The sequence below is a fragment of the Homo sapiens genome, chromosome 5, assembly GCF_000001405.40.
Source record: "Homo sapiens chromosome 5, GRCh38.p14 Primary Assembly".
NCBI lineage: Eukaryota > Metazoa > Chordata > Mammalia > Primates > Hominidae > Homo > Homo sapiens.
Window position 1 is genome coordinate 122,928,618 of NC_000005.10, and position 27,775 is coordinate 122,956,392.

Here is a 27,775-nt window from a genome sequence, read left to right on the forward strand (position 1 = left end):
GGTGGGGGCCTCAGTCTCACAACTGCAGGGATCCTATTGCAGGAACCTGTTATCACCTAGAACCTCTGCAGTCACACACCCCTGCCAGTACCTTGATTTTAGCCCATGAGACTTGAACAGATAAACCAACCAAGCCCATTGGACTTCTGATCTGTAGTACTGTGAGATAAGTGATGAGTATATGGCTATAATTTTGGGTGAGGTCTTGATGGTAAAATAATACTTGAGCAGAGACCTTGTATGGTTTTCTGTTCTTGCTCAAGTATTATTTTACCATCAAGACCTCACCCAAAATTATAGCCGTATACTCATCCAGGCCCTCTCTGTCCTATTACCCTGGTTTATTTTTCTCTGTGACACTAATATCTGTTAATTTGTGTGATTGTCCCACCCTCCACCCTCATTAAAATGTAAGTAAGGTCTGTTAGGGGTTTTTGTCTGTGTTCATTGTTGTATCTCCAATGACTAGCTCTGAACCTGGCACTTGGTAGACCATTAATACTTGCAGAGAAGAAGAGTGGAGTTAGCTTTTTGCTCCCTCTCCAGCCTCCTTCAGAGGTGTCTCTTCACTGCCTGGCTGTACCACAGTCAGCTGCTTCCGGCCTCTCACCTGCTGCTTCAGGGCTTTTGCACATGCTCTGCCCACAGTGCTTGTCCCTCCTCTTTGCCTGCTTTCCCTGTAGTCTGAAGCATCAGCTCTTTAGGAAAAGCTTCCCAGGTCCCTGAGAGCAAATTTTGCCCTCTCTTATTAAAAAACTGTTCCAAGGAATGTTCATTTGAGGGGAAAAAGAAGCATTTTATATTGAGTATAGCTCCAATAGCCTTTTTTTTTTAGAGACAACGTTGCCTTATAAATTACTAAGTCTGTACTGCTCAGTGTGAAATATTTCAAGTGTTATGCCAAATGGACGTTCTTTTCTTATTATTCTGTAAACTGCACCAAATCATAGTACATTTGGTCCGCTTTGTATTTGCACCTTTACATTGTATATAGTTTTGTTTATTTATCTTGAAAAATTTAAGTCCCTTTTTTTCTTGACAGAGAAAGACAAATGCTTTGACACTATCACTAAAACCTTATAAATTATAATAGGTATTAATCATATCTTTTTTTTTTCCATGAAGGCATTCTTCTTGGAGCTCTCTGGCTTTTATTCTAATTTGAACACTTTTAAGATCGCAAAGCTACATTTTAGGTTTTTTTTCTCTACTTTGTTTCTAGGTTAGGTCCACAGTCTTGGCTTCTTTTGTGAATTCCTTTTTTTTTCTTTTTTTAATATTCAAAGAAGGTTCCTGAATGTGTATATAATAAACCATTTGTGCTTCTGCATATCTGAAAATAACATTTTCCCTTGCCCTTGGTGGAAGATTTGACTAGACATGGAATTCTGCATTAAAGCTCACACACTATCAAACTTTGAAGACATTTGGAGCCAAAATTTTGAACAGGTTTTCTATGGATTTCTTTGTTTCTCTGTGTGCCAAGCACCTTTGACCACAAATCTTTCTAGAGAGGACAGCAACAGAGCAGGCTGTGAGAAGATGCCTCCAAGTGGCCTAGAAGCCCTTGTGTGCTTCCTGCTGGGCACTTTGTCAGCCTTTTCTTGACTAGCAGCCTTTTGCTTTTGATCTATCTTTCCATTGGCAGTTCTACACCTTCAGTAAGTTTTTCAAAAAAGATGTTTGGGTTATTTGTTTTTTGAGTTTTCCCGCAAACTGAGATTGACTTTTTGTTGTCTTTATACATGAATAATAATTTAGATGACTATTAAATAATATTCTGATAAAACTCCGCAGGCATTGCTCTACTTTTTCTGGCAATTAGCATGTCAGAGAAAAAGTTTAGGGTCATCCTGATCTTTGTTTCTGCTTTTTGCTTCTGTATATTAGAAGTGGTTTTTGGTTATGCTTGTAATTAAAAATAAATTCTAGGGTGGGTAGGTGTGGACATCCTTGTCTTGTTTTTCCCTGGGATATATAAACCCTTTTGATCTTTCCAGCTTAAGAAAGTTGGATTTCTTTTGTCTTTGATTTTTGCTCTTGTTCTAATTTTTTTGTTCTTTCATCAGGGATTCTTCTCATTGTAGATTGGATATTTATTCTCTTTCATCCATGATCTTCCTGACGTTCTTTTTGCTATCATGAATTTTCTTTCGAAAGCAGAATCATATCAATACACACACACATACATTTAATCACGTCCAACTCTTACATAGGTATTTTGTTGTGGCAATTATGGTAAGTTCTTACCTAATATCAATAGGTTCTTGGAAACTGCAACTTGAAGTGAAATGACATACAGCAGGTCCTTGAATCATGTCGTTTTGTTAAAAAGTTGATGAGGAAAAAAATTGATTTTGTTATATGTGCTTCAAGTCCCAGTTTCCAAAAACCTCTATCTGCAACATTAAGTGAGGGCTTACTATATTTAGAGAATTGTTTTTTGAAGTAGTGGTTGGTTTGTAGCAGTATGTGTTTTTCTTAAAAACTTTTTAAAATTTCTGAAATTTAGATATTTTTGAAATATGAGAAAAACGCTTCTTCCCCCCTACCCAAAATAGTATGATTAAATTAGTAATTTCTCTTGCTTTATCAATGTGGCATCTTAAAATAGAGGAAACGTGACTTCAGGCTCAAAGTAGGAACAAATCAAATTTTTGTGCTAGTTTTTAAAAATGTAAATGTACTTAGAAATCGAATATCATAATAATTCTTTACAATTAAATGTTTTCTTATTTTTGTACCCTCATAAAAACTATATGTGTTGTGAATTAATACCTTGCTAAGTACCTGAATTAATACCCTGCTGAGCACCTGACAATAGGCACACAAGAAATGGCGCTTTTAGAGATTCAACTTTTTATAGTGGAATAACAACCTTTTTTATTATCTTGAATGTTTATTCCTGCTAAAGAAGGAGAATGTTGATTTCAAGCCTGGCTTTAATATTTGGTGCATCTTGTTCTAATGAACAAGTATTAAATATACATATATATGCATGTATATGTATATATATTTATGAAAAGTCATATTCTAAGCAGATAGTTGTCCTTCATGTATATTTCAGATTCCCAGCGTAACGATACACTGACCTAAACTACTTGGAACCTTGGGCTTAAATCTTTATTTGTATATAGAACCCCCGTCTGTATTTGGCAAGCACTTGAATTATTTATTAGATACTTTTAATCTGTTATAGAGAATTCTTTTCTTTTTTCTTTTTCTCTTTTTTTTTTGCTTTAGAAGTGATCACTTTGTAACGTATGAGCTTCTGAAAGAGAGAGACCATTCAACTTGAAATATAAGTTAAGTCCTTCCTTAGCTTAAGTTTATTTTATTTATTAGATATATTCCTGAAAATTGGGGTATAAACCCACATTTTGAACTATTTTATCCTTGACTTCTAGTATAATTTCAGAGATGTTACCACAAAAGAAAAAAAGTTGGCTCTGACATGTAATAAAAACCACACTTGGGGATCAGATTCTTCTCTTTAAAGTAATGGCATTTGTTTTCCTTTTCAATTTGAATTCTATTGACTTAATAATGTTTCTAGAACTGTGGCAAAAATTTAGTCAAATGAACAGAATGATTTTTGTTTTGTTATGCAAACCTGAATGGAATCCTTAATACATTTATTTAATTACATGCAGCTTCCCTTACTTTATACAGAGGGGATTTCTGGAAAACTCTGAGGAAAGATGTCTCTAGGAATAGAAAACTAAACAGGCAAGTCAGAGCCAGGCGCAGTGGCATGGGCCTCTAATCCCACCTACTCTGGAGGCTGAGATGGGAAGATCACTTGAGCCCAGGAGTTTGAGTCCAGCTTCAGCAACATAGCTAAATAAATAAATAAAATAAAAATAAACAGGTAGGTCAGGCTTATATGTAATTTTATGTGAGATATTTGGAATGGAAACTTATGCCCCCATACATACTTGTCAAAATATACCCAATTAATTCTCATTTTAGCCGGGTGCAGTGGCTCACGCCTGTAATCCCAGCACTTGGGGAGGCCTATGCAGGCGGATCACAAGGTCAGGAGATAGAGACCACCGGTGAATCCCCATCTCTACTAAAAATACAAAAAAATTAGCTGGGCATGGTGGCGGGCGCCTGTAGTCCCAGCTTCTTGGGAAGCTGAGGCAGGAGAATGGCGTGAACCCAGGGGGCGGAGCTTGCAGTGAGCCAAGATTGCACCACTGCGCTCCAGCCGGGGCGACAGAGCAAGACTCTGTCTCAAAAAAAAAAAAAAAAAAAAAAAAAATTCTCATTTTATGCACCAGATTGGCCAAAGTAGGACTATGTTGACAAGGATGGGCCAGACATTCCTATTCATAACAGTGTAACTTAGTACATTAGAGGGGTGAAATCTGGCAACATTTTTGGTAATTTATCTTTTGTTAATTTTACCTTGTTGGGTTCTAGATATTTTTATAGTCCTAAAAATATTCTTGAGCTTTGTTCTGGCATGTGGTTAAGTTACCTGGAAACAATTTGATCTCTTCAGACCTGGCTTTGAAGTGTTGTTAAACTGGACTAAAACAGCTTTTAATCTAGTTCATTTTCCCTGCTTCTGAGTCAAGAACCTTCAGAGTACTGTAACTAATGCCTCGTGAATTATGAAGTTTTCTGCCCCAGCTTTTGGACACAGGCACCATTGCCAGTTGCATGTGAGCTCTGAGCCCTCCTCACTCCTTGGGTAGTTTACCCAATCTCACGTGCCGATTGGTTTTCACCTGAATACTTGAGGGAGGCCTCCTCAGCTGCAGGCATTCACCCAGGGTGCAGCTCCCTGTTCTCCATACTCCCAGCTCCCTTTCCTTAAACTCAGGGGATCACAGGGCTCTGCCTGGGTGGGGTCCCCTTCCCTGGGCCTGCGTAGCTTCTCTCTGGGCAGCAAGCTGAGGTAATAGTAGGTATGGCCTTGTTTCCTGTCTCTCACTTTCCTTCATTTCCCGATGTCCAATGTCTTGAGAGCCATTTTTTCCACATATTTTGTGCACTTATTTAATTTGCCCAGTTTCAAGTGGGAGGCTACATCTCCTTCCTGTTACTCTATCTTGGCCAGAAGAGACCTTGGTTTTCACCTTAAAGTGTGTGGGGTTTTTTTGTTGTTTGTTTGTTTGTTTTTCAATAGGAGTGAAAACAGTCCTTGTCCACCCACAGCCAGTCTGAAATTCCAGAGGCAACACATTCAACTCTTTTTTTCTTTTTTTTTTTTCCACGATCTCTGCTCACCACACCCTCCGCCTCCTGGGTTCAAGCGATTCTCCTGCCTCAGCCTGCCAAGTAGCTGGGATTACAGGCACGCACCACCACACCCAGCTAATTTTTGTGTTTTTAGTAGAGACAGGGTTTCATCATATTGGCCAGGCTTGTCTTGAACTCCTGACCTCAGGTGATACGCCCGTCTCAGCCCCCATAAAGGCTGACCTCTTGTCTGTCTTGTTCAGTGCTGAATCCCAGAGCCTAGAACAACCCCTGGGCTTCCTGGCTCGCAGGCCCTCAGTAAATATCTGTTGAATAAATAAACAGATGAATGGTGCATTCTGTGCTGAGTGCTTTCCCAGCGCCGTCCTGGAGGCCGCCACCTCACGAGGTGCCTAATCACTACTAGGAGTTTACCAGCAGAGCCAAGCAAGAAAAGATATTTCCAGGCAGCAGGGACAACATATGTAGGAAAATTGGAAAGACTTTACAAAAATGACCTGGCATGGTATTCAGGAAAATAGGATTTATTAAATTTTTCTTTTTTTGGAAACAGAGTCTCGCTCGGTTGCCCAGGCTAGAGTTCAGTGGCACGATCTTGGCTCACTGCAACCTCTGCCTCCTAGGTTCAAGCGATTCTCATGCCTCAGCCTCCCAAGCAGCTGGATCTACAGGCACACACCACTATGCCCAGCTAATTTTTGTATTTTTAGTAGAAATGGGGTTTCACCATTTTGGCCACACTGGTCTCAAACTCCTGACCTCATGATCCACCTGCCTCGGCCTCGCAAAGTGCTGGGATTACAGGCGTGAGCCATTGCGCCTGGCCGGATTTATTAAATTGACTCCATTTCTTTCTTCACTTTGTCATGAAAATCCTGATGAACAACTTCCTTTCCAAGATGTTTTCCCAGAATTTAGAAGAAAGTCTTGATAGTATTAGGCATATTGTGTGTTTTTTCAACTGTAACATTATAAAATATAAGAATTAAAGTTTATCGCAAACTTTGCTGTGGTGGAACATCCACCCTCCCCCACCCTTCATTGTGAATTTAGTGCTTGTGAAGAGTAACTGTGGAACTTGGTAATGGAACCATCTGGTCAGTAGAAGAGATGACATTCCATGAAGCAGCCATTGTGTAATTTGTCTTACCCTGGCCTTCAAGGGGGGGCACTTTGAGGGGTGAGCAAGTAGGTAGAGCCTTGCCGAGTTTTCAACCGTCTCCCTGTTTTATAGATTCTGTAGGTAATGTGCCAGTTAAGGTGGTGGTTTTGTGATAAAGCCTCAAACAATAAGACCCAGAACATAACCTCATTTATTTCATAAAGCTCAGCAGATGGAAACTACTTTCATTGCTACATATCGTCCTGATTTCAATCTGGGACTGATAGTAAAAAAGGGGCTCTGTAGCCTATTAACCAAACCCCCAAGTTAAAGCTGTGCTTCTCTTGTTTGTTTTCTTGAGGTGTTTTCCTGATTCTATTTCTGGCAAGACCTTTGAAGAAGAATAATTTTCTCTGGTGAATTAATAAACAGATTTTTTTTTTCCTAAAAAAAATCTAAGAATATCTGAGAGTTTGAAGCATATGCATATGGTTTTAGAAGAAAATATTTCTAATAGTTCACCAAAGGAAAGTATTTATTCAGGGGTATTTCTTGAAAAACAAAATATAAAATATTGATTAAATTGTTAAAAATTTACCACTTAGTAAAAAGAGGTTTCTTAAACTCAGTCATGCAGCAGAAGATTTTGTTTCTGATTCAAAGAAGCACAAAAATGCAAACAGATTTTATGTTTCTGGATTTCTAAAATAGTCATACTTACATGTAAGACAGAAATATAGAGCCATAGCAATCTATTTTCATAATGAAGATGTGCGACCTTGTATGTCATATGCCAAATTTAAGTAGTTTTTATTTTTAGACTAAAAGTAAGCATGCTTTTAATACTTTTTAGTGTCATGTGATCTCTACAGTTTTGTATTTTTTTCAGAAGGGCGATTGAAATAGAAAATTAGGCTTATTAAGTAATTAAACAATATTCCTTCATCTTAGTGTTTATAAACTCTCACTTAGCAAAACACAAGTCAAATACAAACTTTTGGAATGACAGAGCTCCTCTTTAGATCCTGCTAACCATCCCTCCCCATCCGACCTTAAAATTGTATTTTCATGAGCATTTCACAATATTTCTCATCCCTTGTTTCCAGTCTTGACCCACTGACCCAAGAATCAAGAAAATGTCATGTTAGTGCCTACTAATTAGTGCACCCAGAGAACCTTTTCATCTGGCCTTTCAACCTTGTGGAGCTAGGAGCACAAGCTGTCACTTGTATCATGCAGGGAAAATGAGCCTTTACTACATTTTGCCTGTTTTGCAAACAGCAGAATAAGCCCAGCTGAGACTAGAGATGAATATGCAGGTTAGAAAGAAATTAACCTAAAATGCACTGCTGTTTGCATGATTGTCTTATAGATGACACAGTACTGCCTGCGTTGAAATGCCCATAATGGAATACCACATGCCTGAGCTTTTTACCAGAGTATTCCTCTTGTAATACTCTGGTAAAGAGTATTGTTTCAATGCTATCATATTCACTTGGTGAAATCATTTTAAGCAAGAAATATTATTTTATTAAAAAATTAGGTAGGTTTTTTTTTATGCATTTAAGTTTCCCTTGTTTTTAGACAGGTTTTTGGAGGATGTCACACTTTGTTAGTGAGCCTTTGGTTCGAGTGCTCATTAATCAGTGCTGTTGGGCCAGGGTGTCCTGAGCCTTCTGGGTTTTGGGGGATCAGCTACTGTAATTAAAGGGATGAAATATATCATGGTCACAAACTTACCACATCAGACAATTGAGGGTTTTGAACTAATATAATTAATCTTTTAAATTTTTTCCTCAGGTGTTTAAGATAGAAGTGCTAATGAATGGAAGAAAACATTTTGTTGAAAAGAGATACAGCGAATTTCATGCTTTGCACAAAAAGGTAACTTGTTTTCTGTTTTTTTGTCTTTTCTCTATGTGGCAGATGGTATAATGTTAACTAACACTCCTTTCTGTGGTTCTAAGACCATTGATATTTCTTGTGTATGTATATACATTTTCTTTTATCATAAAGTAAATTTCTTTTTGGAATAAGTTATTCAGTTCCTTAAAGGTATGCTTTCTGAATAGGTAGATTTTCTGTTAAAATCATTTGCATGTAAAAATCTCAGGCTGCAAGCTGTTTGCAGTATGTTGCATTCGATGTTACAGGTTCAGAAAGAATAAAACCCAGACTCTGTTTTATCCATGAAATGCACTTAATGTTCCTTACAGACAGGGGAGAAAAAGCAAATGATTATCTTACAGGAAGTAACTTATTAAAGTCAACTTATACTTACATGTACCTGGAAAAGATCATATACATGTACTTCTGTATTCAAAGTAACATATACATGTACTTGTATATTCAAAGACAGGGGAACACAAGTTAAAAGAGGCTCTTAGCCTTTTTTTGAATTGTAAAGGGCCACTTTACAAAACTGATGTTTCAGCACTAGGATACACTTCTTTAAAAGTCTTAGATAAACGAAACAGAAAGGCAAAAGGAAGAGCTTTGGGGAGAAATGGTTATTAAAGCACAGAAGAGTAAATGCTTCTTTATTTTCTACCTAAATTTAATTTTTTCTAGATTATAAGTTATTATTGGCATGCTGAAATTATTTTAATATCTAGAAATACCTCATGAAATTGCCCAGAAAAATCCCGTTAACAGGATAAACTTATAAACGTTAACAGGATATTAGTGAGAGATTAGTGAGACTGTTTCCTTCTCTTTTCTTTTAAAGGGGAGCTCTAAGTTATTGGTACACTTTTCTGTTAGGACGGCAAGGGATAATCCACATCTAGTTCTCTGGTTAGCACTTTTTCAATCCAGGTTGACTTGGAAAATAAACAGTACAGGTGAACACAGATTTAGACCAGATGTTGCCAGTGACTTTACAAAAGCACCAACCCCAGGGTGCTCCAAAGAGAAACAAACCTGGAGTCTGGGGCTCACTTCCTTCCCAGGGAAGTGTGTTTTTGTTTATGTGTTTTGGGAGGAAACAGATCCTAGTGAGGTTTCTTCTGGGTACCTGATGAAATAAGTCCCTACTGTGGGATTAAAACCAGCACCCCCTGCCTTGCCCAGCCTCTGTTGACCAGTCTAGAGGAGGCAGCCTGTCACATGCAGGCCCCTTGCTAACCTCCCAAGTCAACACCTAGGACTCCATGACCCTAGCACAGCCCAGCTGTACTCTCCGGATACTCAGGAACCAGCTCCACACCAGGCACAGCTGGGTGACTGCCAATTAAGCCTGCCCAGAGCACGAGGCTGCCCGTGCTTCTGGAGGCGAGGCTTGTTCACCCTGTTCTCTGCTCTAGTAGAGTTTATTTTCTTCTGCAGAGGAGGACCCTCTCCCCAGTGAGTTTGGACAGTTCTTAGCTATTCATGGTCAAAAAAAATCCTAGATTTTCCAGGATTCTCTCTTCTCTCAGTTTCTGCAGCTCTATTAATAATTTTACCTATTCTTATAATTATATAATGAGGTCTACTAGCATTAATAGAATAGAAATTCACAAATCTCTCAATTTTGAATATTGTTGGCAGCCTTGTTAAAATATTTGAGACAACTTTACAGGGACATAGAGATAAAAATAGCTTTGTGGAGCAGAGTTTTATTTGGGATACACTGTCTAATTTTATGTATTATCAAGGGGATAGCAGCTGCTAGAAGTCTCCTTTACTTGCCCCCTTGTGATTGTATTCGATTTGGCAAAAAGGTAACTTTAAAAGGCAATGAAGGCCGGGCGCGGTGGCTCACGCCTGTAATCCCAGCACTTTGGGAGGCCGAGGCGGGCGGATCACGAGGTCAGGAGATCGAGACCATCCTGGCTAACACGGTGAAACCCCGTCTCTACTAAAAATACAAAAAATTAGCCGGGCGTAGTGGCGGGCGCCTGTAGTCCCAGCTACTTGGGAGGCTGAGGCAGGAGAATGGCGTGAACCCGGGAGGCGGAGCTTGCAGTGAGCCGAGATCGCGCCACTGCACTCCAGCCTGGGCGACAGAGCGAGACTCCGTCTCAAAAAAAAAAAAAAAAAAAAAAAAAAAAAAAAAGGCAATGAAATACAAATAACAATGGGGTATAAAAATAAACATAAATCTGTAATTTTGACTGTAAGATTGTGTGCTAAGAAGGGTTGAAATGGGTCAAAAATTTAATCAGAGTACTCAGGCTTGACTGACTGCTGCTGCCACATCAACAACCTTACCCTTTTATTGCAGTTTTGGTACCCTCGATTTCCATATTTGAATCTTGTGACATGCTTTGAATGTTAGAGTTTAACATAAAATATTTTCCCTTTAAATGTAGTTAAATCTGTTGTTACTTAATTCTCTTGAAATATTTAACTATATTACCCCTCCAAAAATTAGATTTGTTTATTAGCAAGCATGTATGTTGCCTTGTTTTAATAGGTGTTTCTTAGGTTTGTTTAGGAGTTGTAGCCCCTCTTTCAATAGAATTATCTATTTATGTGCTTTCTCATTTATCTGCTAGTGTCTAGATTGTTTTTGCTTATTAGTTTGGGTGGCCTATTAATACAATATTAGCCATTTGCTGGAAGCATTTTTTAACAAGGGCCTTTTAATTTTGGTTATGACATTTATTCTAAATGTATGCAAGTTTTAAATTTTTATGTTTACTGATGTGTCTGTTTTTACCCTTTCAGATTCTATCTTAAAATTAGTCATTTCTTCTTGAGCTATGATGAGTATTTGATTCCATTTTCTTTTAGTTTTTGTAGATTGTATTTTTCAAAATGTGAACTTTGATTATCTAAGGGCAAATTGCTGGGCAACACCCTAGATGTACTGAATTAGAATCTTTGTGATGGAGCCCAATAATCTGCAGTACCCCAGATGATTAATGCCTGTTGAAGTTTGAGAATTTCTATAGTATGATTATCACTTAGACACAACCCTTCCTAACCTACCTCCATCACACACACTGAAGTTACAAAGCTTAGAACCACACATCTCAAGGTTTTAAACCTTCAAGTGTGTTCCTACTTTTCTGTTACCTTGCATTATCTTCCAAATTCTTATAATACACACTACTTAATTTTTCATTTTCATTTTCTTTTTTTTTTTGAGACAGAGTCTCGCTCTTTTGCCCAGGCTGGAATGAAGTGGCTCAGTCAGTCTCAGCTCACCACAACCTCCACCTCCCAGGTTCAAGCAATTCTCCTGCCTCAGCCTCCCGAGTAGCTGGGATTACAGGCACCTGCCACCATGCCTGGCTAATTTTTGTATTTTTAGTAGAGACAGTGTTTCGCCATGTTGGCCAGGCTAGTTTCGAACTCCTGACCTCAGGTGATCCACCCACCTCTGCCTCCCAAAGTGCTAGAGTTACAGGCATGAGCCACCGCGCCCAGACTAATTTTTCATTTTCTATTCCTACCATCCCAGTCCAGAGTATTACTACTATATATCAGTATTACTTTAACCATTTCAGATCCTTATCCATTCTCTGCTGCAGACCAGTTTTCCTAAAACACCATTTTTACCTCCATTCTCTTACTCAAATACACTGAAACGGGTCTCTGTTGTCCACCACATCATAGATATTGACCCTCAAGGCTAATAATCTTAAACCTTGTATGAGTTTCCTATTGCTGCTGTAACAAATCACCAAAAATACAGTGGCTTAAAATTTATGTATTATTATTATTTGAGACAGAGTCTCACTTTATCACCCAGGCTGGAGTGCAGTGGTGCAATCTAAGCTCACTGCAACCTCCGTCTCCCAGGTTCAAACGATTCTTCTTCCCCAGCCTCCCGAGTAGCTAAGATTACAGGCATGTACCACCATGCTCAGCTATTTTTTTGTATTTTTAGTAGAAACAGGGTTTCACCATGTTGGCCAGGCTGGTCTCGAACTCTTGACCTCAGGACATCCACCTGCCTTGGCCTCCCAAAGTGTTGGGATTACAGGCGTGAGCCACTACATCCAGCCTTAAAATTTATTACCTGACTGTAGCTGAGTCTTTTCTGGGTTCTAGAAGAGAATCTGTTTCCTTGCCTTTTCCACCATTCCTCGTCTCGTGGCCTCTTTCATCTTCAAAGCTAGCAGTCACTCCACTTCAGCTTGTGTCCATCATAACATCTCCTTTCATCACCTCTCCTCTGACTTGACACCTTGTGTAAACAGCCTTTCTGATTCATGCAGATAAGTACCAGATGCTATGACACCATAAACTCAATCCCCTTTTCCTTGTCCTTCCCTCTCATGATAACACTGAGCCCACACAGATAATCCAGGATAACCCCCCTTTTCAGAATCCTTAATTTAATCACATCTGCAAAGCCCCCTTTCCCATGTAAGCGAATACATTCACAGATTCTGGGGATTAGGACTTGGGCATCTTTGAGGGAACCATTATTCTGTCTACTACTAACACCTTTACTGGCCGACTTTATTTTTCACTCCTCCTAAGAGCTCTTCAGTGACAGCTGAGCCAATATCTCCCATTACCTCATTATATGAGGTAAAAATGGCTACCCACCTATCTTTGCCATGTCGAATGTCTTTTCCTGTGTGTTCTGATCTATTCAAACCAAGACATTGCAAGTTCTCCTTTTTCCATGTTAGCTCCCTTTCTTCCCTAATCTCTTTGTTCTTAGAACTCCTGTCCATTTAGAATACAGATTTCTGCTTAAATTTTGGAAACATATGAGATAAAACTGTTATCCCTAAATTTTATCTAATTAGAAGGTACTTTTTTAAAAGTAGGGACCATGTCCTGTCTTTCATATCTTTCACACTGTTAGAGTGTCTAGTAGAGTCTTGGGCACATATTAGGTATTAAATAAGTATTTGGCAAATGGTATATTTGGAGAACATGCATATTTATGAATTACTAGAGGATCAGTTTCTACTGTGGGAGTTTGCATTCTCTGTTAACCCCAGGTTCTGCTTGCCCTGATACCTTTGTAGCTCCTCTGCTAGTACTAGGTGGGAAGAACACCATGACCGCACCAAAACGAAAACAAAACCCCATGCTAGCCTTGTTATGGCCCAGGCACAGGCTCCTGTGACAGGGTGAGCCTTCAGGCTTATGAGTGCTTTCCTGTGTGCCTTGGCTACACCTGTCCACACCCCACTATGGCCAAATACTTTACTATTTTAAATGGTGGTTCCTGAAAAGAGCTTTACCTCCCTAGGCCAAAAATTGCATGTATGGGCAGAAAAGTCTTTTCAGTGTGGCAAACTGCTAAGCACATTTTATTTTCATGCCTTCCCAGCTGCTTTCTGTTAGTCACAGCCCATCCTTTTATTCACAAAGGTTTCAGTGAAATATGGTGCTGGTTCATTTTTAAATTAACTGTCTTCATTTTTTATTATTGACTACCTTTGGCTTGAATAAAAGACTTCATTTTCCTGTGTTTAATTCCATGAAGTAGACAATAAGAACCAAAAACCTGCCATGTGGGGTCAAACCAGTAGCACAGCACCCTGTACATTCTCTTCAAAGGGAACCCTGAGGAAGTAGCGGTGGCAATACAGGGGGAAAGATGGGATTTTATCCCCAAGTGTTTCCCGCTTCTTTAACTTTTCTTTTCTTTTTCATTCTTTTTATTCATGTACTTGGGAAAAGTATTTCTGCTTCTTTGTGGAAAATGGTTACTATAACCAATGTATGCAGTGATAGGTCTGTGTGGAATAAGTTCTGTGTAAATTCTTCTAGCAGTATAAAAAAGGAAAAGGGAGTGGTCACACCAGGAAAAGGAGATTGTGTTTGTGGTATCGTGGAATCTGGTACTTATCTGCGTGGATCAGACAGGCAGTTTGCCTGGACACAGCAGGGCCAGGACCGTTAATCATCGGATGAAGTGACAGAGGAGTATTTATCTTGTAAGCAGCTGAGCCCTACTGGAAACATATTGTCTCGGGTTTGTCTCTCATCTAAAGCAATTCATTACTCACCTACAAATGCTGTCATGGATCCCAGCAGCTATGATCATACGCTTCCTCAGTACTCCTGACATAAATAAAAAAGGAAAAATATTTTCAGTTGCTAGATCTTCTAAATTTTTTTTAAAAGGAGAGACATATAATAGAGTTGATTTTCTATTCTGAAATATATGTTGTGATTCAATAGTTCAAAAGGAAGTTTCTTTATGTTTAAAGTGAAACTTAAGCTTATTACCACAGAATAATTTAGCATTTTGGCCTTGTTATTATGGAGAACTGCCTCGGACAGTATAGAGATTAAATATGTATTTATTCCCCTGCAAGCAATTCTAAATTCCCCTCCTTCTCTCTCCCTTGCATTATCAGTTTCCCCCTCAATACTGAATCAGTCTCATCACTATATGAACCTATCGCAGTAGTTTCTGTTTCACATAATAAAGCCTGCCTTCAGCCCCATGCTTCCCTCCTGTGCTCATCCCGTTGTACTCCTTCCTTCTCTTTTAGTAGAACGCCTTAGAAGAGGAGCTGCTACTTCCCCACTGCCCTTCTCTCTGTACCCCACGTTACTGACTTCCCATCATCTGGCACAGCCTGATCATGCCTGTCCTCTTGAAACACTTTCCTGATGGAAGCTACTCCCCCTCTTCCCCCAGTGATTGCCCTGCTTCTCCTCCCTGCTGTTCCATCTCACGTGAGGCTCGGGGCCCTCTTCCAAGCTCATTCAGGCAGAATTCAGTGGCTTGCAGTTGCAGAACTGAGGTCCCTTTTTTTTCTTGCTGGCTGAACACCAGAGGCAGCCCTCAGCTCCTAAAGACCACCCTCAGGTCCTAGCCATGTGGCTCTCTCATCACATGACACCTTACTTGAAAGCCAGCAGTCTGCTAGGACCATCATACAATACACAATGTAATCATGGAGTGACTGTCCTGACATAGTCACAGGTCCCACTCATGCTCAAGAGGAGGGGATCATACAAGGCATTTACACCAGGGGACCATTTTAGGATTCTGTCCCCCACAGCCCTTTTTCTCTATCTGTACCTAACTCCTAATGTCATCTCCTCTATTTCCACAGCTCTAATTACCTATATATTCTGACTCCCACATTTACAGACTTGTACCCAACTACCTACCCAGCATGTCTACTTGGATGCCTGTTGAGCATCTCTGACTTAAAATAGAACAAGTGATTCCTTTATATTAGGAATGTCTTTGATTGCATGTAGTAGAAACTTGATTAGATTTCTTAAGATATTTTTTATTCTCACATTACAGGAAAACTAAAAACAGGCAGTCCAGGTGATGCACGCATCTCACAACATTCATGTTCCAGGCTCCTTGTGTCTCCCTGCTTTAATGTCCTCATCTTAGCATGTGACTTTCACACTTCTGGTGACAACATAGCTCCTATTCTTCCAGGCATGGCTTCTGCATTTTCTGGCAAGAAGAGCCTGTTGCTTTTTGTTAGGAAAGCAAGAGCCCTACCCCAGTAGACATGTACACATATTGGTAACTCTGTCACCTGGTCACCCTAATTAAAAGGGAACCTGGAAAACCAGTTTATAGCTCAGCATCTTAGCCCTCTGAATGACATTGATTTTTTTTTTCCCCCAAAAAAAGAAGGAGGAAATGAATATTGGCTAAGCAGCTAGCAGTGCTAGCCACATCCCTTATTCATGTGGGATTAGATTTGGCTGTAAGTGACTCTAAAACCAAAATAATGGTGACATTAACAGATACAACTTGGACCCTCCCTTCATAAAATGTCTGGTGCTGGTGTGGCAGTTTCATGATCATCAGGGACCCAGGCTCTTGCTGCTTTACCATTCTCAGTGCGAGACTTCTACCTCAGAGGCAAAGGTGGCCGCTCTGCTCTAGCCAGTACATGGGCCCCTTCTTCGTGATGTACAACAAATTTCAGCCTAGAATGGTTAAGGGTGAATATACTCTTACATATGGAAAGAATTTTTTACTATAGTTTAGCTGCCCAGGTTTAATTGTATGAATTTTCTTATTCATTACTATGCTGTTTCTGTGCATGTGTAGTAAAGGAGTAACGTTGGTAGGTTTTTTTCAAGTTTTTAATTAGCAATTAAGCACATTGCACTTAAAGAGGCAGTGCATTAGTTTCCTATTGCTGCTATAACAAATTACCATAAATGTAGTGGCTTAAAACAATATAAATTTATTGTCTTACACTTCCTGATGTGAGGAGTCCAAAGTGGGTTTCACTGGGCTAAAATCAAGGTGTCAGCAGGATGACGTTTGCTCTAGAGGATCTAGGGCAGAAACCATTCTTTCCAGCTTCTAGAGGTCACCTTGGCTCGTGGCCTCTTTCTCCATCGTCAGAGTCAGAGACATTGTTTCTCCTAGTCTCTTTCCAACTCATTCTGCTGCCTCCCTTTTATAAGGATCCTTGTGATTACATTGAGCCCACCCCAATAATCCAGGAGAATCTTCCCATTTTAAGACCATGAATTTAACCAAATCTTCAAAGTCCCTTTTGGCATATAAGGTAACATCCACAGGATTAGGATTTGGTTATTTTTGAGAAAGGAGGATTATTCTGCCTACCACAGACAGCTCTAATGCAACTTCCAACAGAATTTTTGTTTATTTATATTATCCCCTAAAACTGCTGTCCCAAAAGGCTTAGCTGAGAACTATCATTCAGTTTTCATGAATGGAGTTGGAAAGTAATTGTTAGGAACATTGAAAAGATTAGGCCTTTATGTTTTTAAGTTCTCTCTCCAAATGATGTGGTCTAGTTAATGGCATTTCTAGGGACAATACTTATATACAGTTGCATTTTGTTTTGATTTCTTTATATGAAAAACATGTAGAAAGACTTCTTATCAGCAAAGTCCTTCATCCAAGTAAAATTTTGTTGTATTAATTGATTTTTGTAACTAAATTTCTTTACTTTCATTTTTATTCATTTATTAGGCTTTTAATTTTTCAGGAAAAAGGATTTCAATCTGAAATATCAACAATAATACCTACCAAAACAGAAAACCATTATTCTGAAAACTGAACAGTCAAGATACCTAAATAAAGAATTGTTTGACAAAATTGCAGTGTAATTATATTTTCCTCTATTTTTTATTGCAGATAGCAGTAGTTCACTTTCTTTTATTGGCCTTTTTTCCCCAAATAATATCACTATAATTAACAGACATCTCTGTTTTTTTTTTTCTTTTTCTTTTCCTATTCTGTCTTTATAGCTTAAGAAATGTATAAAAACTCCAGAAATCCCTTCTAAACATGTTAGGAACTGGGTCCCCAAAGTCTTGGAACAGCGACGACAAGGCTTGGAAACATACTTACAGGTAAGATATGTTTAGATCCTCATTTTATATAACATAAATAATCATATGTCTTACCACTTTTTCTCAGGACATGTGAGTGCAATGTAAAATATGTTAAGCAGCCAAAGATTCTAAATTAAAGGAAGTCCAAAATTACAGATATGTTGTTGGTTGGTTCTTGTAACTTTAATTAGGGTTCTATTTAAAATTGGTTCTATGTATTGGGGAAGTGAAATTTCAATAAAAAGGTGAAAACTGTTGAGGAGAGGATCTGTTTTTTAATTCAACTCTACAAATTATTTTGTTTTTTGCTTTTTGCTTTTCCTTCAAGATTTTTTTTTGCTTCTTTATAGCAATCCCAGCCTTCACGTTTTGAGTTTTGCGGGGCTGGTTGGGGTAGTGAGAGAAACTGAACTCACAGCGGGCCTGGCTAGTGTATCTTTGGAATCAAATTGAAAAGGAATGTATAAAAATTGCCGATGATGAAGTGCCAACCTCTTTGAAAATTCGAATGTCAATTTAGAAAGAATGCACTGGGACACTCTTTTCTGCAGCTGAGAGGAGCAAGCAGAGCTGCCTAAGTGAGAATAGGACAAAGACCGTCTCTTTACCAAGTGACAGAAGAAGCAAAAGGAGAAGGTAGAGCAGTATCAGCTTCTCTGAGTTTTAAAACAAAAAGAACTAGTGGCCCCAGGCGAGTACTCAGTGTAGTCATCATTAAGTCCAAAGAACACTGTGCAGGGCAGGAGCTGGGGTGGGCAGGCCCTGAGGTCAGCCAGTACCATTCTGCCACTAACCCATCTTGGTAAGGTGGCAGGTGCCATCCTGCCACTAACCCATCTTGGTAAGGGCCAGTAGTATGGTCCCTCCCTGGCACCACTGGAGAAGCGACACATGAGAATGATGGAGTGAACATGGCTGGGGGCAGGGGAATCTTGGCTCTTAAAACAAAAGAGCTGGACTCCCACCTAAGAGCTATGAATTAATGATTGACCCATCTAAGACACGTTACATCAAACAAATCAGCAGCCATGACTGTGTCCTCCCTTTGATATCTTCATGGCCCTTTAAGCATTAACCCTAGGGTGGATTCTGTTGAGGAGGGAAACTGAGGACTGTGGAGCTAGTATGCCATTTCTTCTACAGAGCTCTATGAATGGCTGTCCCTGAACCACTAGTGATGAGAAGATGAGGGGAGGCTGACTCCTCAGGCTTGTACTTAGTGAGAAATTCAGAGGACTATCTCTCAGTAGAAAGATGCCAGAATTCCGTTCCTGGCCCTTGTAGTTTTCCTGGTCTTTACAGTGCTCTAATAGGAAAGCTGACATGCAGAAGGCCCCTGAAGACATCTGAGGCAGGCTCTCTTTACTGTTTTTGCTCTTTTGCTTTTGAACTTGGTAGAAGAATCCTTCACTGTCTCTCTCTGGGGGTGAGAGCTTAAAGGAAATGGGGATTATTACAAATCACAAGAATGTGTGTGGCCATGGTTTTTGAGACTGAGGAGCTATGATCCTTCCATAGCTTCAGGCAACACTGCAGAGCAAAAAACAAACCCCTCCAAAAAATTAGACTTCAGAAATTGTATGCAAAGAGTAAAAATGCATGTTCTCTATAATTAAATGGAATAGGTAAACAATGCATTCTTATTTGTAAGCCAGATTTTCCATGATATTGTATATCTTCAAGCTTTAGTTCTGAAGAAAGCTCTACTCTGTTCCCCTCATTGTATTTGACACATGATTTCCATTACTACTCAGTGTAAACATTTTAAGTTGTTTGTACTTCGGATATAAATATGTGCATAAAATCATCTGGCACAGAGAGGAGTTTATAGTGACACTCAAATTGAGCTTAGAATTTTCTATTCTCAGAAATAAGGCTTGAAAGATGTGGTCGAAGGGCTCAGATGGCTTGCTTCCTGTTGTGCATTTAATAGTCAATTTGTTGTCACTTAATTCCCCCAGGAGTTTAAGGGAGTTAGTTTTCTTTTCCGCTTGATTCTATTTGCAGGCAATGGGAGGTAGATGGAAGTTGCAAAGATAAGCCTGAACACTTAATCTTAAATGAAATGCAAATCCTAGCCTAGGTGTCATTTCTTGATCATTTCAAGTCTCCTTAGAAGTAAGACAGCATTACTGTTTCTTCTGCTTGCTTACATTACACCAGCTAGAATCCATTCATGCTCAGGACCAGTCTGAAACCCAGGGAGTGGATGCCACCAGCACTTTCTCAGCAGGTATCATCCTGCCACTAACCTGTCTTGGTAAGGGCCAGTAGTATGGTCCTGATCTGGCCCATGAACCTAAGAAAGTGGTAATACCTCCAAGCCATAGCATCTTAAGTTCACAAGGAACTTAGACATTACATAGTCCGGTCCTTCAGCTATTTCACAATCATCCCTCTGGCCTCAATTTCCCACGCATAAACAGGCAGATCAGCTCTTGAGGGGGTCAGAGAAAACAACTCTTCCTGCCATCCAAGGGGCAACTAGTACATTCTGGACCATGGGTGAGTACAACCCCACACATTTCCTAAGGTGGTCACACACTGCTCTTTTATTTTAGAGATGGACAAACTGAGGTCCAGTGGAATTAAAAATCTTGCCCCCATTCCTGCAATATATTAGTTAAAGAGTTGGGAATGGAATTTTAGTTTCCTAACATCCAGTATGGGCTCCTTTCTTCATGTGTTGTGGATTTTTCTAAGTCAGGAGAAATTTTTCAACTTTGACATATAGCTTTACATAAGGCTCTAACAGATAAAGGAAAAGACCTGATAATCATAAACTATTACTGCCTAATTGACTATCATCCCCCAACTCCCTGGATAAGTAGATAGATGATTTTTTAAATCAATAACTTGAATAGCAAAAACTATGCATATGCTTTCATTTTCTGTGCTGTATTTAAGTAAGAGGCTAACTTAAAAACAAGAAAGGTCAAATTACCTATTTTCAAAATTAATTTTGTTCTATCTGAGATTTTAAACAAAGGAAACCCAACCTGTTTTGGCATCTGTACTTTTAAAACTGTTTTTTATTCCTTTGCTGGTCACCAATAAATGAAATTAATGAAAGAAATAAAACTAATGAAAATGAGAGGCAAAAAAGCCTACAGTTAGCATTTATTTGGCTTTCTTCAACTTGAAAATAAACATATCATATTAGTCTTCAAGATACAATTTATAAATACATATTTTCTTTTATGTTTTAGCATCTCTATTCAATTTAAGTAATTTTAGTTTAAAATAACTAAATTAGGAAATTTTCCTAGTGTATATTTTTGAGTGTAGGTTTCTTAAAAATATTTTACATTGTATTTGAAAAAACCACTTTATTTTCAAATAGAAATTTCAGATCTTAAGGGGAAAAAAGCAAGCACATTATTCAAATTAATGAATTGCCACAGTGTAAATAATTTATGGATAGGTTCTAATCAGTGAATTTACCTTGAAAAACTTCTGCCGTTCTAGAGATTTCCATATGATCATATTTGCAGAGTCTAACAGTTGAGCAATTACAGCAAAGTCTATTTAGTGTTACTTGCCTGGAGATTAAAAACAATAGTATGAAGGTTACATAAGTGAGTTTTAATTTTTTAAGTACATTTCTGAACCATTATTATTTTCCTACTTAAATTTTCAAATGATTTGATTAGAAACAAATTCTAAAACAAAAACGAAAAACCCTAGCTGAATATCCAAGTACGTATAGTATCTTAGAATCAAAATCTATAATTAATCAGGGAGACATCAGAAGTTATATTTGGCATTTGAGTAATTTGAAGTATGGCAGTCTACCTGATGAACAGTGAACCTTAATTTTATTTCCTAGAATCATTTTCTGTTTATTGAATAAGAAATCAATTAACTATTATTATGTTTTCTTACCTCTTTCCCCTTAAATAATATACTCCAGGAAAACTCCCTGAGGTTTAATGAATGAGGAAATCGATCTCCTGTAAAAGTAGAATTAAGTATAACAGTACCTTTCTATATGAGTGGAAGAAAATCAGTTGGTTTTCATCTCAGTAAAAGGTCTATGCCAAATAAAGAGTTTTCTGTTAAACTTTTATTTTTCCAAATTATATAAACTAGAAATTCATCTACTTTGGAGGATGTTTTAACTTGAAGATAAAAGCAAGTTAATATTTGATATTAATTTACCAATAAAGGTTGTATGTGTGTGTGTTTGTATAGTTTTGCTTAATGATAAGCACTCATCAAGCACCTATGATGTTTGAGGCAGAAGGGTAGATCTAGCTTCAGAGATACCTTGAACCATAGCCCAAATTAAGCTACTGTAGTTATTTTCTCTGTCGCTCCTCTCTGCTTCCATGGTGCAGGCTTCATCTGGCCCCCATAGTGGTACAAAAGGGCTGCAACAGTTCCAGACCTCACCTACTCTTAGCACATAGCCTAGTACAGAGGAAAAGAAGGTTTTCTTTCAGTAAGATTTCACAGAAGAAAGAAGCAGTGTCTTTCACTAGGAGTCCTGCAGATGTTTTTCCTGATCTCATTGGCTTATATTTGTGTGCATGCCCACTTCTGAACCTCACCACGGCCAACCATCCCACTGAGTTAAGTGAATCAAAGCCTGCTCCTGAAGATGAGGGAGAAGGGGTGATTTCCCTAATGAATAACCAGGGTATTCTTGGTAAAAGAAAAGGGAATATTCTCACTGTGGGTTGGGGCGTGGAGGGCAACCAGCAAATTACCATCAGAGAAAATGATAATGCTTAGAAATTTTGAGTAAATTGCCCAGGGTTATGAAAAAGTGGGGACTTTCCTGAGACTGGAATTCAAGGCTCTTTCCTAGATAGATAAAGCTTCTAGAAAATTTAAAGTCAGGCCGGGCTTGGTGGCTCACGCCTGTAATCCCAGCACTTTGGGAGGCCGAGGCGGGCGGATCACGAGGTCAGGAGTTCAAGACCATCCTGGCTAACACGGTGAAACCCCATCTCTACTAAAAATACAAAAAATTAGCCAGGCGTGGTGGCGGGCACCTGTAGTCCCAGCTACTCAGGAGGCTGAGGCAGGAGAATGGCGTGAACCCGGGAGATGGAAGTTGCAGTGAGCTGAGATTGCGCCACTGCACTCCAGCCTGGGCGACAGAGTGAGACTCTGTCTCAAAAAAAAAAAAAAAAGAAAAAGAAAAGAAAATTTAAAGTCATAAATCTCCTTGACTTTTGACTTAAAGACCAGAAATATTTCTTACCTTTATTTTTATTTTAAAAATATAAAATAATATTTGCTCATTAACACAATTACTTTTACATCTAAAAATTTTAATTACCAATGAAGTTATGAGCTAGACCATTAAGGAATTTAGCATCTCATAGTGTTTACCAGTTTCTGAAAAGCAGAAATCTTAAGAATAATTTCAGTTTCCCAAATTGATTTGACCATCAAACACAGTTTATATGATAGTTTTGCCTCCTGATTTGAGATGACTTCCTGTCTTCCCTGAGACTCCACTGAAATGAAAGTACAGAAACTTAAGAATGAATAAACTCCAACAGTTAAGTAGTAGATGGGCAAGGAAAAGAGAAGATCATCAAAGGAAGAACAATGTTAACAACCTTCGGGAAGATAGGATGTGGTGGGAGCATGTGAGTGGATAGAGCACAAAAAGCAGCAGTCCGAACTCAGTCCTGTGGGTCTGTTGTGGAGGCGGGAGGCAGCCTGTGCAGGCAGTGCTGGAGAGCTTCTAGGCTCAGAGTCTGCGGGTAAGGCAGAGCATGGGGTGCGCAGGGAAGCTGAAAACAAGTAGATCCATTCAGGGCACAGGTTGAGTGTTCCTCATCCGGAATGCCCCGAAATTTGAAACCTTGAGTGCTGGCATGACGCCACAAGAGGAAAATTCTCTACATAAGAACTTAATATAAACTGTTTCATGCACAAAATTATTTAAAATATTGACTAAAACTACCTTCAAGCTATGTGTATATGATATATAAGAAACATAAAGAATTTCATATGAAGACTTGTGTCCCATTCCCAAGATATCTCATTATGTATATGCACACATTCTATAATCGAACACATCTGAAATCCAAAACACTTGTGGTCCCAAGCATTTCAAATAAGGGCTATCCAAGCAATGTCTGCATGGAACACATGCCTAGGCTACTCATTCTATGCAGAATACGTGCAGCCTGATGTTTGTGACCAGATGAATTTTTTAAAAAAAGAATTTTCTTTTAAAAACAACAATACAACAACAAAAAAGTAAACAGAATGGCTGGGAAGAGCTAAGTCTTCTAATGTGGATAGTAGGGCCCCCAAGTTAACAACCCCCTTCGCACTCACCCCAGGGAAAAGCCCACCTGACTGCGCGCTCCACTCATACGGTTTGCACTCAGGCAAGGGGCCTGTGCAAGCACTGCTGCTGACATACTAGCAAAGGAAACCTACCCAAGCCACCCGGGCTACTTTCTTCAGTGTGATCTGATGATAATCAGGCATTTGAAGAAAACAAGTAGCATGAACAAAAAGACCAAGATGAACTAAAATACTGACTCTTCAGGAAAGAGATAATTTGGGACATAAAATATATCTCAAAAATTGATGTAATAAATCCAGAGAGCTTCAGAGTGGTATTACATCCTTAAGATTACAATAGGATGCTGTGTAAAAGGAACAATCCAAGAACACATGAGAGTTCTTAGAATTAAGTGTGTTATCCAACTGAAAACATTCAGTAGATGCTCTCTCTAGTTGGAAAACTGTTCCATAAAGCACAGATACAGAAACGTCAAACAAAAGACATAGAGGACCAATCCAGGTCTAACATCCTACTTCTTTCTGGAGTCCCAGAAGGAAAGGGGATGGGAGGTACAATACACAAGTAGGAAAGGGAATAATAGAAGGAAAAATAGTTGAAAACTTCCTCAGGTTACACAATATAAGCGATTTCTTTCTTTCTTTCTTCCTTTCTTCCTTTTTTCCTTCCCTTTCCTTTCCTTTCCTTTCTTTTTTTTTTTGGAAACAGAGTCTTGCTCTGTCACCCAGGCTGGAGTGCAGTGGCACAATCTCAGCTCACTGTAACCTCCACCTCATGGGTTCAAGTGATTCTCCTGCCTCAGCCTCCCAAGTGGCTGGGATTACAGGCACCTGCCACCATGCCCTGCTAATTTTTGTATTTTTAATAGAAACAGGGTTTCGCCATGTTGGCCAGGCTGGTCTCAAACTCCTGACCTCAAATGATCCTCCCGTCTTGGCCTCCCAGAGTGCTAGGATTACAGGCATGAGCTACTTTGCCTAGCCATCAGCATTTAAATAGGAAAGGTGCTCCGAGGATAAAGAACAAAGAATGACAGAATCCTTGTAATGCCTAGACATAGCCAGTGATATTTCAGTACATTTGAGACAAGATCCATAATCTTCCAGAAAAAAAAAAACAAACGATGGGCAAGGTTGAGCTTCAGTCATGGCTTCACTTCTTCATTTGAGGGTTGTTTAGTGGGTACATCCCTCCATTCTTCAGTAGAAACATTAACTTGTAAACTGGCGTAATATTTAGACAAAGGTTTTTCATGGAGTTGTGCATACGTTACTTGTTCCATTTATTACAATAACGTGGAATTTATCTTTCTGAGAAAGGTACATCTTATATCACTTGAGAATAATAGTTCTTGTTTATATTTTTTTCTTTTTGTAAACAGTAATTAAATGTATAGTTAGTATTAAGAGCTAAAGAGAAATAGCTCACAGAAATCAAGACTAAGGATAATCTAAGCTAATAATACAAATCCTTTTTTAAACAGTTTATTTGTAGAGAACACTTCCGAAGCTAGAGTGAGGCTGGCTTGTTAAATAATAGTAGATGCCCCTGAGTTACTGTCTTCACAAGACCCTATTACTTGACTAGCCTGCCCTTCATTCATTCTTTAAATTATACAGTATGATATGTACCGTTGGGTCAGTAGTCCACAGTGGGTCAAAGAGTATTGTATCTTTGACTTTTCCAGTTGTACATGAAACAGTTACTAAAATTGACCATATGTGCTTGAAAATGTGTATTCTTAAATTCTCAAATGCAGTGAACTTTCTCTCTCTCTATATATATATAGTTTTATATATAAAATACATATAATCAGATCAGTGTTAAGTATTCTGTTTATTAATGTTTATATTTTTAATTTTTGTGGGTACATAGTAGGTGTATATATTTATGAAGTACATGAAAGCATTCTGTTTAAATGTCTTGTATTTTAACTTGGCCACTCAATCTATAAGAACAAAGATGTGTTAAAATTTCCCACTTAAATTTCTTATCATTATTGATATAATTGGGGTTAGTTCAGCCATCGGTGCTATCACTCCATCTTTTTCTATGATTTTTTTTTTGTCTGCTTTTGGATTGGTGACCAATACTGTTTTTTTTCTTTCTATTGTTCCCCCATTTGTTTATATTTGTTTTTTTAATAGTTACCTGTTATCTTTACTTTCCTCTTGAACATTACAAGGGCCTTACAATATTTTAACTCTGTTTACGCTAGATATAGGAATCTGGGTTGACAGTTCTTGTCTTTCAGCACTTGCAAAATATTGTGACACTTCTTTCTTGTCTTCGTGGTTTCTGATTTTTAAAAAAAAATCAGTCATATTGTTTTTCCCCTATATTTAAGGTGTTATTTTAAAAAGGCTGTTTTCAATATTTTATTCTTGTCTTTAGTTTTCAGAAGTTTAATTTTGATGTGTCTTGGTGTGTATTTAAGTTTTTCCCCTTTTGAATTATCCTGGTTTCTTGAATCTGTAGATTAATGTCTCTTATCTGATTCAAAAGTTTTAGCCATTATTTCACTGAGTACACTTTCAGCTCCTTCTTCTTTCTCCTCTTATTCCAGGCCTCTGATAACAGGAATACTAAATTTTTTATTATAGACCCACAGGGACCTGAGACCTTATTCATTTTTCTCAGCCTATTTTTTTTTTTCTCCATGGTCAGGGTGGGTAAATTCTATTGTTCTATCTCCCAGTTTCCTGATTCTTTCCTTGATTCCTTGCATTCCACTGTTGAACCCTTAACTTAAGGTTTTTGTATCAGTTATTATATTTTTTAGTTGTAAAATTCCCATTTGTTCTTCTTTATATCTTTTATTTCCTTCCTGAGATTTTATATATGTCTTCATTGAGTCTCTTTTGTTTTGTTTCAAATGTATTTATAATTACTCACTGAAAAGTTTTTATTGTGGCTGCTTTAAAATCATTGTCCAATAATCTTTACATCTCTGTCATCCTAATGTTGGAATCTATTGATTAGCTTTTTCATTCACTTTGAGATCTTCCTGGTTCTTGGTACAATGGATAATTCTGATTGAATCTTATACATTTTTATAATTATGAGACTCTGGCTCTTATTTATACCTTCTATTTTAGCTGACTTTCTCTAACAGCTCCATCAGGGGAAGATGGGATGTGGAAGACATTACCTTGTTTTTCCCAGGTTAAGGTAGAAGATTAGGCTCCTCACTTGGCCCTCGTTGATACCTGGAGGGTAAGGCTTGCTCCTCATTACCATTAAGATGTAGAAAGTTCTTTGCTAGATTTCATCTGATGCCACCATAGAAGAGAAAGGGAGGAGTACCTCGTTACTGCCATTGGCCCTGGAAATCTAAGCTCCTCACATGGTTTCCGCTGACACCATAAGAGGGGGCACATTACCAAGTGGTGAAAGCCCTGGTCCCTTACGAGGCTGTCTCTGTTACCACCCTCTCATCGACACCTCATTACAGCCTTATAAGGGTGGAAGTCTAGGCTTCCCACTATGCCTCTGCTGCCATGAGTAGAGGTGAGGGCCACAGTTTCTTCCATGGTGTTTGGCTGGAGTAGAATGGTTAGTGTCTGCAAATTTTCCGTCTTGCTAGGCTGCCCCTCTCTGTGTTCTATGGCTGGACAGAACAGGCTTTGGATGCAGCTTTTTTTTTTCTCTATCTCTGGGCATTTCCTGGTTGCCACCTTTTCAGCTCCAAGTCTGCGATATATAAGGCAAAACAAAAATCCAAGAAAGATAAAATTCATCACTGTGTATCTTAGTTTATTTTCTGCAGCTATAATAGAATGCCACAGACGTTCTATTATATGTGGTGCCAGCCGCTTCCTGGGAGCAGTGAACAGTGTCCCAGGCCTGATTTGGAACACAGTCTCTGCAGGGAAGGCTTAGTTGTCCATCTGCTGTAATTTGTAAAAATAAAACCTTTAAAACACTTGGGAAAAAAAAAATATATACACACACACACACACACACACACA

The 27,775-nt window shown here is 38.7% G+C and overlaps 1 protein-coding gene across 10 annotated transcripts in view, besides 1 other annotated feature; it reads left to right on the plus strand.

Moving 5' to 3' along the window:
• The window catches only part of SNX24 (sorting nexin 24), a 183,706-nt gene that overhangs the window by 83,005 nt on the left and 72,926 nt on the right, over window positions 1-27,775 (plus strand). For all 10 annotated transcript variants that reach the window (NR_146145.2, XR_001742058.2, XM_017009395.2 and 7 more), the window contains 2 exons: window positions 8,117-8,200; window positions 17,438-17,542. Coding sequence is in view for 8 of the 10 variants with exons in the window: in XM_017009395.2 (XP_016864884.1) it covers window positions 8,117-8,200; window positions 17,438-17,542 (189 nt within the window). In the remaining 2 variants the exon portion in view is untranslated. The remainder of the gene's footprint in view (window positions 1-8,116; window positions 8,201-17,437; window positions 17,543-27,775) is intronic.
• Window positions 19,623-19,823: a silencer, noted in NCBI's record as "peak5448 fragment used in MPRA reporter construct". NCBI's record gives its function as "represses an SCP1 promoter by STARR-seq MPRAs in K562 erythroleukemia cells {active_cell/tissue: K562}" and the evidence as "EXISTENCE:reporter gene assay evidence [ECO:0000049][PMID:32103011]".